Genomic DNA, 13910 nt, shown 5'->3' with positions numbered 1-13910 from the left:
TGCCTCCCCCTCATACCCCTGGGTTTTCCCAGGGTAACCGCAATCCTGACTTGCAGAGTTATCATTTCCTTGATTTTCTTTCTAACTTTACTATTCAGTTATGCATCTCTGAGCAAGGTACTTGGTTTCTCCCTCCTTTTTCAGCTTTATATCAGTGGAATCTGACTGTATTCTTTTTGTCTGTATGCTTTTGTTCTATATTATGTGTGTAAGATTTATCATGTTGTTTCGTCTAGCTATAGTTCATTTATTTTAATTGCTGAATAATATTTAATTGAATTACTCTACCACAATTTCCTTACTTGTTCTACTGTTGATGGACTTCTGGAATATTTCCAGTTTGGGGTTATTATGAGCAGGGCTGCTATGTACATTTGGGTTACGTGTCTCTGGGTGCACGTATGTAAGCATTTCTTTGAGAAATATACTCAAGAGTGAAGTTTGCTAGGTCATAGAGTTTGCATAACTTTGAGTTTATCAAATTATGCCAAACTCTTTTCCAACGTGGTTTTTAACAATTTATACTCCCACTGGCAGTATATGAAATATCCTGTTACTTCACATCCTTGCCAGAACTTGGTATTATCAGGCTTAAATTTTTGCCAATTAAATGGGTGTGTAATGGTATCTCTGTTGTTTTAATTCATATTTTTCTTATTACTTAATGAGATTGAACATCTTTTCATGTTTATTAGCCATTTGAATTCTCTCTTTGGTGAAGTGGCTGTTCTACTTTTCACTTATTTATTTTTTATTGCCTGGTAGCTTTTAAAAATTGATTTGTACGAGTTCTTTATTTATTCCATTTGTAACCCACATATTCTGGTCCAGTGTTGTCTACATAAGTTGCAAATACTTTCCACCCTATGACTTGTCTTTTAATACTCCTTAGGGTGCCTTTTAATGATCAGAATTTTTTTATTTGAACTACTTATCAAATTTTTCCTTTATTATCTTTTTATGCCTTGTTTAATCCACCTGGAAGCAACTTTTGTATATAGCACAAGGAAGAAATTCCTTATAAAACAGAAGCATAAAAGTTAGCAAGTATTATTTATAAAAAGAGGAACTTTTAAAGCAAATGTTCTATATTTTTCTCCTTTACTACAGATATGAAGCCTGCCTCTGATAAGAGGGAAATAGATCTTCATGTACCTTTTTTAGGGACAACAAAGTATCTACCTTTGAATTCCCTTAAGAAGTAAGAATATGTAAGTGTGATAGGCCCTCATGTAAAAATCATCTCTTAGGGTACCCTATATAAGTGCATGAATACATACAGTACACAAATGCTCGTAAGTGCATGAACCATTTTTGAAAACATACATAGGAAATAGTTATAGTTGTTACCTGTGGGAATGTATTATTTACATTTTCTGCCTCAGGGAAAAGAATATAATGTTTAAGATAATTTCCATAGTAGCTTAACAGGAAAGTAGCATCAGATACACCAAAATTTATTCACATATGCTCTTTCAGGAACCCATCTATCCAACAGAAGTGCTGATTGTCAATTATTTTACACATGCTTTTCGCACACACACAAAAATCTTGGTTACTTAACAAGCACAGGAATTATTGCAATCCACAACTATACTGAATTGCCAGGTACTCAATCTTTTCTAAGCTATGGGACTTGAATTCCAAACCCTATTCCCAAATTCATTATCTGAATAAAAGGTAGCACAATTGATAAGGGATTTGCTCATAAGTTCAAGGTGAGTAGGAACAGTACGACTTAAAGAATTTGCATTAGAAATGTTTTGATGTTGAGAGACTTCGGTTACCTTTCCAATCAGCTGACTACCCTGGACAAAGCAAAGAACAAGGGTTTTCTCTTCTACGTCTGTTAAAACAAACTAAATATGGCCTGAGAAGGACTCTATACTTCTGTATTTGAGTCCTTGTGGATGAATTGCAACCTAACTTAATAGGTAAACAAGATTGACAGCCTAAAAGTTTGCATCTGTAACAGTGGTTGAGTCTTGGCCAATCCCAGCAGCCATACCTCAACCACTCACACACTGCCAAGTATTCAAACTGTGTACAAATAAGGCAAACACTGACCTGTAACCAATCCAGCTGTTTCTGTACTTCACTTCTGATTCCTGTACGTCACTTTATTATTATTATTTTTTGTCTATAAATTTGTTCTGACCACAAGGCACCCCCGGAGTCTCTCTGAATCTGCTGTGATTCTGCGGGCTGCCCGATTCATGATTCGTTCATTGCTCAATTAAACTCTTTTAAATTAAATTAAATTTGGCTGAAGATTTTCTTTTAACACTTCTTTCTGCATTTCCTACTGAACAATTTAGCTGTACAAAGAATTAACTATGAATTCTCTCACGCTTTAACAAATGAGACAGTTCAAGTTTACATGGGCAGCAATGAGTTAAGTATTATAGCAAATGAGTCAGAAAATACATATATTTTGAAAAAATTTAAAACATTTCAGCAGATACTTAATGTTTGTTTTAGTAGGATAAAAATCAGTTTACAATACGGTTCCACTTTTTAAAAATTTATATTTATGCATTAAAATTAACAGTGATTATTTCTACACAGGTAGGTTATAGTAAAGTTTTAATTTCCTCTGTGTTTTTCACTTACTTTCCAATGTTACTGCAAATCTGTATCTTTATCTATCTAAAGAGAAATAGATATTATAGTAGAAGCGGTAAGAAAATTTTACCAAATGCCTTAGTTTTAGTCATAAGAAGCTTTTTTTCTAATGTTAAAACTTTATAAGAAATGATAAATTTTACTCTATTTCCACAATTCAGAAAATGACACTTGCAAATTTTTAAGTTTGAAACCAACTTTTCAAAACAAACAAACAAAAAACCCTTTATTTTTCAACTTTTATTCCTTTACATATAATTTAAATTTCTCCTAGTGGCATTCTTATTTAGAGGAATTTACCAAACAGTATCCTTACCTTTGATATGGCAAGGCCTTTTAGATAAGAAAAAGGCTCCCCAACTGGGGAGGCACAGATAAGTGAGGTGTACTATCAAACATCTACTCATCATAGAAAGCATGCTGGAATGTACTCCACATTTCCTTACATTGCAAACCCTGAGCCTTGGCTCTATTAGTGTCGGGACAAAGCGGGTAACTGGGCAGACTTTTCATAAAAATAAGGTGGGGCTTGTTTGTGTGCAATTTTGAATGTGATACCCTTAACAAAAGTGTCTGGTTCTGATTTGATGACACTGAACTCAAGAAAAATAGCCAGATTAGGATCAGAAGGGAAGTTGCAAAATTTCCTGATTTGCTGAATATGACATTAATATACAGGGGGAAATATGCTTTGTAACGAGCAAGCGAGCAGCTGTATGGTGGTGGGGGTGGGGTTGAGGTGGTAGAAGAGGGAGCTAATATGGCAATCGGTATAACAACAAACAAAAATCTGAGCTAAATCAGCTGTGTGTTCAACTTCTCATTTGGTCTCTGATATTTTTTAAATTAACATATTTTTCTTGCAAGGTAACATATGGAATAGTTTGACCTTGCCAAGCAAACTGGCAATTCTGTGTTACCGTCACTTCTTCCAAGCCATCTCTTCAGAGTAAAGTTGAGAATATAAATTTGAAACATAAGCCCAGTTCTCACAAATCTAGTTTCTTTTTCGTAAGGCACCTGCTCTTTTCCAAGGCAAAAATGCCTCAAATTTCCTTGGGTATGAAATTATCCCAAAGTGATGTAATTGAGGGTGATCTGATAAACTCCTTTATTAGGAATTAACTCCCTGCGTGGGATGATGATGAACAGACAGATGAGTAGTTCTGTTTATACTGTTTGATTGTCACGGTGGTCTAAATATACTCAACTTTTGGATGACTCACAAAATATTGCTACATAGTATTTGGTAAAGGAGATTAGAAGTCAAAAACAGGATGGGGTGATATAGACAGAGGGATTTCAAAGCAAGCCTATGAACATTCGAAAGCATCAGAAAATCATTTGATTGTTTCTTTTTTTCTTTGCTCATCCAACTGTGTCTCCCTCAAGCCAAGTAATTTTTCAGGAGATAAAAATGTTCAAATATTCAAAGATTGGCACAGGTCAAAATCATAAGTGACCTGACATTACTACTGTACTTAGTTATAGTTTTGAAAGGAAAGTAGAGACAACTCAATTTGGTGAGTTTCTTGGGAAATAAAACAAGTAAAATTTCTTCCTTGAAGCACTATTCATTGCTTTTGTGGAACAGGCCAGGTATTCATAATAAAGCCCAGGGTAACTGTATTCACTAGAGACAGTTCAGGCAGAACAAAATGTACTTTGCTCCTTCTAGCTAAGCTTCACATGACCTCGAATTAGGAGACAAGGAAGGTAAAATGTGTTTTCTATAACAAATTTACTATTACTATGAAAAGGTAAGTGGGTATCCATCCCCTCAATTTGATCAAACTGCATTTTTATGAGAAATTCTATGATCTCATTTCCTGCATATGAATATTTTTAAACTTCTCTTCAAGCACCTAATGGCATTGACGTTCTGTAACATTTACAGAAGATATGCCATTTGAATACTTATCAGCCACCAGTGGTTTTCATCTCATAGATGGAACCTCTTACTCATTCCACAAATATTTATTAAGCATAGGCTATGGTTCAGATCCTGGGCCAAGAGTACAGGGCCCAGCGGAGAGCCAGATGGACTCCCTTCTAGCCTGGTGTACCTTAATAACTGCCAATCGTGCAAATAATGCATGATGAGACAGCAAGATCAGTTAGCTATCACAGGACAAGTGAAACAGCCAAACTGAATGTCAGACACCCGCCAGCAGTGACTGGTGTTCTCCTTTGCACTGGGCTCTGAGAAAGCATCATCAGAAATGTAAAACGACTTCTCTCCTCCTTATGTTTGGGGGATACAACAATTATTCTCAAGAAACAATTAGGCCAGCCTGGGCAAGATGGCAGACCCTGTCTCCATAAATACTAAAAAAATTAGTTAGAGCTGGGAAGGACAGTGGGGGGCAAGGTGGGAGGTGAGGGTGGTTGATGGGTACAAAAAAATAGAAGAATGAATAAGACCCAGTATTTGACTGCACAAAAGGGTGACTATAGTCAATAGGAACTTAATTGTACATTTAAAAATAACTAAAAGCATGTAATTGGATTGTTTGTAACACAAAGGATAAATGATTCAGGGGACGGGTACCCCATTCTCCATGATTTCACATTGTGATTATTTCACATTGCATGCCTGTATCAAAACATCTCATATACCCTATAAATATATACACCTACTATGTACCCACAAACATTAAACATAAAAAAAAATAAGTACAAAAAATAGCCAGATGTGGTGGTGCTTGCCTGTGGTCACAGCTACGGGGGAGTTTGAGGGGGGAGAATTCTGTTGAGCACAGAAATGTGAGGTGGCAGTGAGCTATAATCACACAACTGCACCCCAGCCTGGGTGATAAAGCAAGGCCCTGTCTCAAAAAAAAAAAAAAAGACAATTAGGGAAAAATATAAAGCAGTTCATGATTAGCTCCCAATTAACTGTATTCACTGCAGAGACCTGTGGGGAATAGAACATTCTATATTCATTCCTTAGAGCTCATCCACATAGGAACTTTTCTCAGGAAGATTTTCACATGTTAATCATTGAACTTTTTCAGGAAGATTCTCACATGTTAATCATTGTGGTGGACAACTGGAAAACCTCAGATGCTGTAGCGTTCATATTTTGTTGACAGCAACCAATATAATACATACATTTAAAATGGCAACATATATATACTTAATTATCTTAAATCACAAATTTTCCAAACAACACCTATTATGCATTCTTGATTTTTCTATTCTTTTTTCTACTCTTCGATTTCATTTTCAAATTGCCACTCAAGAACCTTTAAATTGATTTCACAACAGTGGGTTACCAAAAACACTGACAGGAATTGTACTTTTCAAATGGTGGTAAAGCTATATATAGTGCAGACATTGTGAGATCTTGCTAAAGACTGAATGTTTGTGTGTCCCTATAATTCTTATGTTGAAATCCTAATTGCTGGCGTGATGGTTTTAGGAGGTGGGACCTTTGGGAGGTGATTAGGTCACAAGGGTGGAACTCTCATGGATGAGAGTTTTAGCCCCAGAGCTCCCGGTCCCTTCCACCGCATGAGCACACAGTGAGAGGCCAGCCTTCTATGAAGCAGGAAGCCAACCCTCACCAAACACTGAATCTGCTGGTGCTTAGATCTGGGACTTCCCAGCCTCCAGAACTAGCAGAAATACATTTCTATTACTTATAAGCCACCCAGTCTATAATGGCTGGTTTCAGCAGCCCAAACAGAGTAAGACCATAAGAAAACACACTACTATGACTACCACTACTACTAATGATCGCTAATATTCATTGAGCATTTACTATTTACTAAGCACAGGGTTAAAGATATTACATGGCAATTCTTTCAGCCTCACTTTTGGCTGATTCCCCACAGGCTGTGAGCAGTAAGACAGATGCTGAACACTCTACCCACTGAAGGAAAGGGCTAAGCCACCATACCGAGAGGCTAAAAGACGGACGTGTAGGTTATGTCCACAGAGCCAGAAATCAGTTCTGCTAGCCTGGCCACTGATAACCCCTCTAGCTAGTGAAAGAGGGGTTGAGGCAGCCAGAGGGGTGTGTGTGTGTGTGTGTGTGTGTGTGTGTGTGCGTGTGTGTGTGCGTGCATGTGTGTGTGCGTGTGCACGTACGTCTGTGCGCTGCGCGTATGTCTATGTGTGTGCGCGCGCATGCGTGTGCGCATGTGTGTTGTGTCTTCCACCCTGGGGGAGGAGAGGATTGCTTTCCCCTCACCTTCAGTGAAGTGGGAGGGCCTCAAGAGGACCCCTTAGAGGGCCTGAGTAAGTCCCTTGGAATTTCAGGCAGGTGGGAGAGGGTGACACTCTCACTGCCCGAGGACAGGCCATAGGGCATGCAGGAGTTTCGCCTCAGGCCAGGTGGGCCTGGAAGGAGCCTACCGGGTCACTATCACAGGAACTCCATCCACAGGACCATCCTGCAGGGGGAGGGAACCTAACTGAGAGGGCAGCTGGAGGAGCGGGCCTGGAGAACCCCTGGAAAAGGGGTTCCGTCGAGGCTGAGGACGGGAGGAGCCGTGCCACTGCACCTAGAGGAGAAACAGCCCCTAGAAAGCTGGGGACAGCCAGAGAGGAGGCCAACCCTGTGCCTCCCCGGTGGATACCCTAGGCAGAACGTGGCCTTCCTGGAATAGTGTGAGGGTGGGGAGAGGTTTCACCTAGGCCTAGACCCAAGTTTAGATGACTGAACCAGACAAGATTTTAATTACTATACTGAGAATGATCTGTTTCTGATGGGAAGACTTCTATCTGAAAGCTACTAGAAAGCTATGAGGTCTCTTGGGATTTCACCCAGTGCAGAGAAAGAACCACAGGGTAGGAGATAACGACTGTGGGAGGGAAAGATGGGCTGTGCTCTTCCTGTGCGTATCTTTATGATGTTCGACATGTCCAATGTTGATTGATCACTTTACCCATTACATCCTTCCAGCAACCCCACTTTGTCACCCACTTTTTACAGATGGGGAAACCGATGCTTAAAGAAGGGTTAAGTCATCTCATGCTAGTGAGTCGCAGAGCCAGGATTCAAACTCAGTTGGTCTCACTTAAATACTCTCTACCCTTCTTTCTGAGGCAATGTGATTTGGGGTGAGGTGGGAGGGAGCAGGAAAGCAGAGTTAAGTAATTTAACTAGTATTCAGGTAAAGCACTGGTCTCCATTCTATATTTTTACTGTGATATGTATGTGTGTGTATATATATGTGATATATATGCACACATATATGTATATATATGCACACATATATATGTATATATATGCACACATATATATGTATATATATGCACACATATATATGTATATATATGCACACATATATATGTATATATATGCACACATATATATGTATATATATGCACACATATATATGTATATATATGCACACATATATATGTATATATATGCACACATATATATGTATATATATGCACACATATATATGTATATATATGCACACACATATATAAAATATGTAGGTATATTTACTTGTAAATTACATACATGTATTACGCACATTTAAAAATACGCCCCACTCCTGTAATCCCAGCACTTTGGGAGGCCGAGGTGTGTGGATCATTTGAGGTCAGGAGTTTGAGACCAGCTTGGCCAACATGGTGAGACCCTGTCTCTACTAAAAATACAAAAATTAGCCAGGCGTGGTGGCCTGCGCCTGTAATCTCAGCTACTTGGGAGGCTGAGGTAGAAGAATCGCTTGAACCCGGGAGGCAGAGGTTGCCCTGAGCCAAGATCGCACCACTGCACTCTAGCCTGGGTGACAGAGTGAGACTCCATCTCAAAAAAAAAACAAAAAAAGAAAAAAAAAGAATAAGATTAAATAGAATTTATCTGCTGGATTCACACACCCAGCATCCTCCCACACAGATGTGTTTTGGAGTGGAATTCCTTGATTGCGAAGACTACTTTGAACTTTGTCCCTAGAGTTCCCAGGCTATACAGGCTCACCTCTCTCTTCTGTTTGGGTTACTTTTGTGGGAAAGTTTGACGAGTGGGAGGCTTGAGTTGAGGAACGAAGGAAAGCTTCTTGGAGTGGAGAGGACTCAGGTGCACCTTAAGGATGCCAAGATTTTGGGTAGGCGAGAGGAAGTAGAAGAGTCATAGAGAGACTCAGAGTGGGGGACACGGGAGGCTGCGGAGTAAAGACAAACTTCTTTTACTTGGCAATATTCCCTAGGTTAGTTCTGTTTTCCTCAACTCATTAGGTGTCATGTAAAATTACTCTCCTATTTTTTTTTAAAGGAACCCTGTTCTGAGGCTATTCTTATTCTAAAAAGGGGCTGAGTAACTTTTGGGAGTCAGCCTCTGCTCCGTGATGCGACATGAGGTGTGACAAGGAAGCTGGGGACTCCAGAAGCCCCCACAGGAATCTTGATCCAGTGATGTGTACCTCACCAGAAACCAATTATACAGAGGTACGAATCTCTGCTGAGGGCAGCAGCCTTTTATTTTCTGAAATCCTACACAAAATTGTAGCTATGTACATATGTGCATTCTTCAGAGGAAAGTGTCTACCATTTTCATCAAATTTTTGAAGAGTTCCTTGGTCCCAAAAGATAGGAATGACTGTTCAGTACTAAGTATTCATTTGAATAGTTCCTCCTTTAAAACAACTTATCTTGGGAGGGGGAAAGCAGTTTTTTTTGTTTGTTTGCTTTTTTTTAGAAGATTTTATGTTATAAAAGAAGTACTTATTTGGAGACATAAAGTGACACAAAACAGTAAGGAAATATCTAAAGTATCCTTCCCCCAACCTCCTGATCCTGTTCTCTAGAAGGCAGCTTTGTTCATAGTTTGTTGTCTAGGAGCTTAAAACAATCTTCAGAATTATTTCAATCAGATAATCAACACCAAGCTTAAAATCTATCAGGATCTGATATGGTTTGGCTGTGTCGCCACCCAAAATCGCATCTTGAATTGTAATCCCCATAATCCTTACGTGTCAAGGGAGAGACCAGGTGGAGGTAATTGAATCATGGGGCCCGTTTCCCCCATGCTGTTCTTGTGATAGTGAGTTCTCACCAGATCTGATGGCTTTATAAGTGTGTGGTAGTTCCTCCTGCGCTTTTTTCTCCCTCCTGCTGCCTTGTGAAGAAGGTACTTGCTTCCCCTTTGCCTTCCACCATGATTGTAAGTTTCCTGAGGCCTCCCCAGCCATGCAGTACTGAGTCAATTAAACCTCTTTCCTTTATAAATTACCCAGTCCTGGGCAGTTCTTTATAGCAGTGTGAAAACAGAGTAATACAGGGTCCCAGAGGGGAAACTAGAGATTGACTTATGGTGGTGGTGGAATAAAAGAGGGATCATTTTGGAGAAAGGACTATTCTGCAGAGGGACATGTGATTAGGGCATTCCATGGGGCTTTGGCCAGGCAGAGGTCACTGTGCAGAGGAGAGAAAGGTACAAGTGGATTTAGGTCAGGGCTGCAAACACACTTCCTCCTGGGCCCTAGTGGGGAGTGGGTGTAGACTGCTTTGGGCATCATTCCTGTGGTCTTGGATGCCAGCTGTTGGTGTCAAATGATAGGTCTGATGCCTGTTATAACATAGGGATATGGAATAAGAATATACAAAGTCTATATGAAGACTATGGCAAAACTTTATTGAAGGGGTTAGAATTAATGGAGAGAGAGTCATTTTCATGGGTGGTAAGAGTCAGTGATCTAAAGATGTCAAATCTCCACAAAATCAAATTTTAATTTTAAATCAATCTCAAAATCACAATGGAATACTTTTCTGAAATTAACATATATATGCAAAAGTTTATCTGATAATAAACAGTAATAAAAGAGAGGAATACTCAGTGTGTGTGTATGCATGCTAGTATCTCTGCTAGCAGATGCTGACAGATTTTAAAGGTACAATAATTAAAACAGCATGACACTGGCTAAAGTGAAGACATAGAGGACAACAGCATAGAACAGAACATCAGAAAGAGCCATAAGCATGAATAATTTCGAGAATGATAAAGGTGCCATTTCAAATCAGTGAGAAAGCATAGATTGGTCAATGAACTGCAGGGAAAAATAAATTTCAATCTGTACCTCATGTTAGATGACAATATAAATTCCAGATGGTTTAAATTCTAACATTAAAAAAAAAAAGATGCCAGGCATGGTGGCTCAGGCCTGTAATCCCAGCACTTTGGGAGACTGAGGTGGGCAGATCATGAGGTCAGGAGTTTGAAACCAGCCTGGACAATATGGTGAAATCCCATCTCTACTAAAGGTACAAAAATTAGCCAGGCATGGTGGCACATGCCTGTAGTCCCAGGTACTGGGGAGGCTGAGGCAGGAGAATGGCTTGAACCCGGGAGGTGGTGGTTGCAGTGAGCTGAGATTACGCCATTGCATTCCAGCCTGGGTGACAGAGCAAGACTCTGCCTCAAGAAAAAAAAAAAAAAAAAAGAAACCACAAAATCTCAGTTTAGAGCAGAAGTAGGATTTGGAGACATTCACGTTGCCAGGCCTCCTGCTGCCCTACACAAAACCGGAGAGAGGCAGGCCAGAGAGGCAGGTCCAGAATTTTGCAAAATTCTGGTCTTACACTTAGGCAAAAGTCTTGTTTTTACACAACTTAAAAGGAAGATACCGTTTAAATTTGCATATTTCAAAAATTATGCCTTCTCAAGGACAGTGTTTTGATTTTTCACGGTGTTAAGTTAAAAATAAAAGAAAAATCCCCTACCAGATTAGATTATACTTTTTCCTTAAAGAGAGAGGAAATTGTCTGACTGCAGGGTAAGTACACTCTGCTAGTGAGTTAAATTATGATATATGAATACTTTAAACCTGAAATGAAAATACGAAAGTGTTTGTGTTCAAGTTATCAGCATTACTTCCTACTTTTTTTTTTTTTTTTTTGAGACGGAGTCTCGCTCTGTTGCCAGGCTGGAATGCAGTGGCACGATCTCGGCTCACTGCAACCTCTGCCTCCTGGTTCAAGCGATTCTCCTGCCTCAGCCTCCCAAGTAGCTGGGACTACAGGCACATGCCACCACGCCCAGCTAATTTTTGTATTTTTAGTAAAGATGGGGTTTCACCATCTTGGCCAGGATGGTCTCAATCTCTTGACCTTGTGATCCGCCTGCCTCGGCCTCCCAAAGTGCTGGGATTACAGGCGTGAGCCACTGCACCCGGCCCTAAATGTCTTTTCTATATACTGCATTAGAACCTAGGAAAATTATACACTTGCAAAAATTACAGAAGTAATAAATGTATTTTAAAACAAATCAAATACACTGGTTAACATTTTCTTCATATTTTTCCTCCTGCCCCAACTCTTCCCATTGCACAGTAGCATGCATTGATCTGAGCTCTCCTCTTAAAGATGGTATAATGTTCTAGTTAGAGCCAAAATTTACAGAAATGCTCACCAACACTAAAAGACATGAATGAGAGTGTCAAAAATGAAATTTTAACAAAAGAATCAAGATACGAAAGAGTATGTATGTCATGATTCCTCTTATATAAAGTTCCAAACCAGGAAAACTAAATTATATTGCTTTAGAAATGTACACATAGATCATACAATTATAAAGAAAAGAAATTTTATCACGAAAGTCAGGATTCTGGTTTACCTCTCAAGGTGCGGAGAGTTGCAAAAAGGAAGAAGTATATGAAGTTGGGGTGGCAAGGTTCTATTCTTTTGATCTGGGTGGTAGTATATGTATTAATCATGCTTTACTCATTCATTTATTGCCATTAATTTTAAAATAGATTTTTTAATTCATTTATTTTTAAATTCATTTATTGTCATTAATTTTAAAATTTTAGTTTTAAGAAGAGTTTTAGGTTCACAGCAATATGAGCTAAAGGTACAGAGATTCCCCATGTATTCCCCGTCCCTACCCATGCCCAGCATCCCCCATTACCAACATCTCTCACCAGAGTGGTACGCTGGCTAGAACTGATGACCCTCATGACACATGATTATCACCCAAAGTCCACAGTTTACACCAGCGTTCACTCTTGGTGTTGTACATTGTATGGATATTGACGAATGGATCGTGACAGGGATCCCCCATCACAGTACCACACAGAACGATTTCACTGCCCTAAAAATCCTCTGTGCTCTCCCTATTCATCTCCTGCTCCCCTCAACTCCTGGCAACCACTGATCCTTTTACTGACTCTATAGTTTTGCCTTTTCCAGAATGTCATATGGTTAGAATTATACAGCATGCAGCTTTTCCAGATTGGCTTCACATTAAAAATATATATATAATTTCTACTTGAAAATTAATGCTGCCTCTAAACACAAAGAAAGTAGAATAATAACCAGTCATTATGTATTTTCCTTTTCTACACATTTTTCTAAGGAAAGATCCAGTTCAAAGTACTTGTAAGGAACTTTGGAAAATTCCTGGGTTGTGATTTAGTACTTAGGTTGCTACTCAAATGCAAATTAGGAATGAGATCATTTCACCTTCTATCTATGGGAGTGAGCAATATTTCTTGTTAAAAATCACTGAGATTTTTGGAATCGCATGCTACACAGCAAAACCCAGTGGAACTTGACTACGTAACAAAGATGCCAGATTAGTTACAGTTTAACAACTTAACGCCAATGACCATGTTTACAGCGAAGTTATACAGACTTTTTTCCTGCTGTTGCAAACCTGAAATCTCATTTACAACCATTTCAAATTAATATTTAACCAAATTTATATAAACATACATAAGTGTGTAATGTTGGCCCTTTGATGCCTGCTCTCTCGAGCCGGTGCTGACAAATAATGAAATTCTGAAAAGCTTATTGCTTCGAGAGCTAGGAGCAAGAGCTTAGGGAAAGGAGGAATAAAAGAAAGTAGTTGACTATCAGCAAACTTCTGAATTCTTAAGCAATGAAGAGAAAAAATGTGAAAAGTGCCTTTTTATACACAAGTGTTCTCAGCAATTAGGTTTAGACCAGCATTGTCCAAGAGAACTTTCTGTGATGACATAAATGTCCTATATCTCTACTGTTCAGTATGACAGCCACTGGCCACATCTGGGTATTCAGCAATTGAAGTGTGGCTACAGTTATAGAGAAACTGAATTTTTACTTAAATTTAAATAGCCACATGTGGTTAGTGGCTACTGTGCTGACAGCACAGGTTTAGATAGTCTTACCAATGCAGTACCATCACCCTTCTAGAAAAAATGCTCAATTGTAAGAAAACTTCAATACTACTTCCAGATAAACCGCACTTATTATAAATCAAGATTGTAAGTAGTTTCCCTTGATCTCTTGTGCTCAGAGGAGGCACACACATAATATGACTGAAAAGAGAAAACTTGAACAATGAA

General features: G+C 39.0%; 1 protein-coding gene across 17 annotated transcripts in view, besides 1 other annotated feature; it reads right to left on the bottom strand.

Annotated features, from left to right (window-relative positions):
* PALLD (palladin, cytoskeletal associated protein) overlaps positions 1-13910 on the bottom strand; it is a 431390-nt gene that overhangs the window by 127256 nt on the left and 290224 nt on the right. The window lies entirely within an intron of this gene.
* Positions 11112-11171: an enhancer, noted in NCBI's record as "active region_22126". NCBI's record gives its function as "activates an Ori minimal core promoter by ATAC-STARR-seq in GM12878 lymphoblastoid cells {active_cell/tissue: GM12878}" and the evidence as "EXISTENCE:reporter gene assay evidence [ECO:0000049][PMID:35858748]".

The sequence above is a fragment of the Homo sapiens genome, chromosome 4 (assembly GCF_000001405.40).
Source record: "Homo sapiens chromosome 4, GRCh38.p14 Primary Assembly".
NCBI lineage: Eukaryota > Metazoa > Chordata > Mammalia > Primates > Hominidae > Homo > Homo sapiens.
This window is presented reverse-complemented; position numbering and strand designations above follow the sequence as displayed.